Source organism: Homo sapiens, chromosome 20 (assembly GCF_000001405.40).
Source record: "Homo sapiens chromosome 20, GRCh38.p14 Primary Assembly".
Taxonomy (NCBI): Eukaryota; Metazoa; Chordata; class Mammalia; order Primates; family Hominidae; genus Homo; species Homo sapiens.
Window position 1 is genome coordinate 4,592,502 of NC_000020.11, and position 1,012 is coordinate 4,593,513.

Genomic DNA, 1,012 nt, shown 5'->3' on the forward strand with positions numbered 1-1,012 from the left:
TTGCACTAGGCTATGAGGGCAGGGGGTGGCGGGCAGGGCAACGTCCCATACCGTCTAAATCGCGCCCATACGCTGCCACCTGGGAAAGGGGGCAGAAAGGGGCGGCGGTGCTCTAAAGTGAGGCGGAGCTGGAGGGCTCTGAGGAAATGCCCCGGGGCACCCCCTCCCCAAGGCAGCCTGGAGTGGACGCGCGGCTGCCAGGCTTCCCGCGGAGGACGCGACCCCGGCGGTGCCCGAGGCTGGCGCGCCCTCTCGCGGCCACGCCGGGAACGCCGCCGGCTGAGACCCTCGCGTCCTCGGAGAAGCCTGTGGTTGGTTCCAGCCTAGGCCCGGCGGGCAGCAGCCCACGCTGGGTGTTTGAGGGCAGTGAGGAAAAGGACCTGTCTGCAGAGATCGTCTCTGCTGCAGTCCTTCTGCAGTCCACGCTGGGGAATGCCCTGGTCAGCGCGACAGAGTCCTCCGCTCTCCCCGGCATCCCCTGTCCAAGCATTTCTCCTCTGCCCCCAGCTGTCAGCTACCCCTCCCCTTGCCTCTTTTGCTCGACTCCTTGAATTAACTCAGCCTCGTAGGGGTGTTGATGACTGCTTATTCCTCCCTTTACCTCTAGCCCAGCAGGATATTTCACAACTTTCCTCCAAAGCAGCGGTCAAGATCTGAGTTAGCTCCACGGCTTGCTGACTCTCCTCATGCTCGGGTTCCTCATCTATGAAACGGGGATAACTGTAGTATCTGCGTCCTGATTTGGTGTAAGGTTAGTGAGTTACTACGTGTGTAGCAGACCCGTGCCTCCACACATTCCCTCGGTGCCCCTCCTTCTTCCTGTGCCCCTGTCCTCTGCGTGCCTTCTCTGTGGGGAGACAGCCAGCATCTTCTTGCTTCTCTGTTGCAGGGCTGTCCCAGGCTGCTGGAGCCTCCCTGGACCACATGCAGCAGCCTGGAAGTGCCAGGGATCAGGGGACGTATTTACCTATATTAGAGTTCCCCAGAGAAACAGAACTTATGGGATTACATA

The 1,012-nt window shown here is 60.5% G+C and overlaps 1 annotated feature.

Moving 5' to 3' along the window:
* Positions 212-361: a silencer, noted in NCBI's record as "silent region_12642". NCBI's record gives its function as "represses an Ori minimal core promoter by ATAC-STARR-seq in GM12878 lymphoblastoid cells {active_cell/tissue: GM12878}" and the evidence as "EXISTENCE:reporter gene assay evidence [ECO:0000049][PMID:35858748]".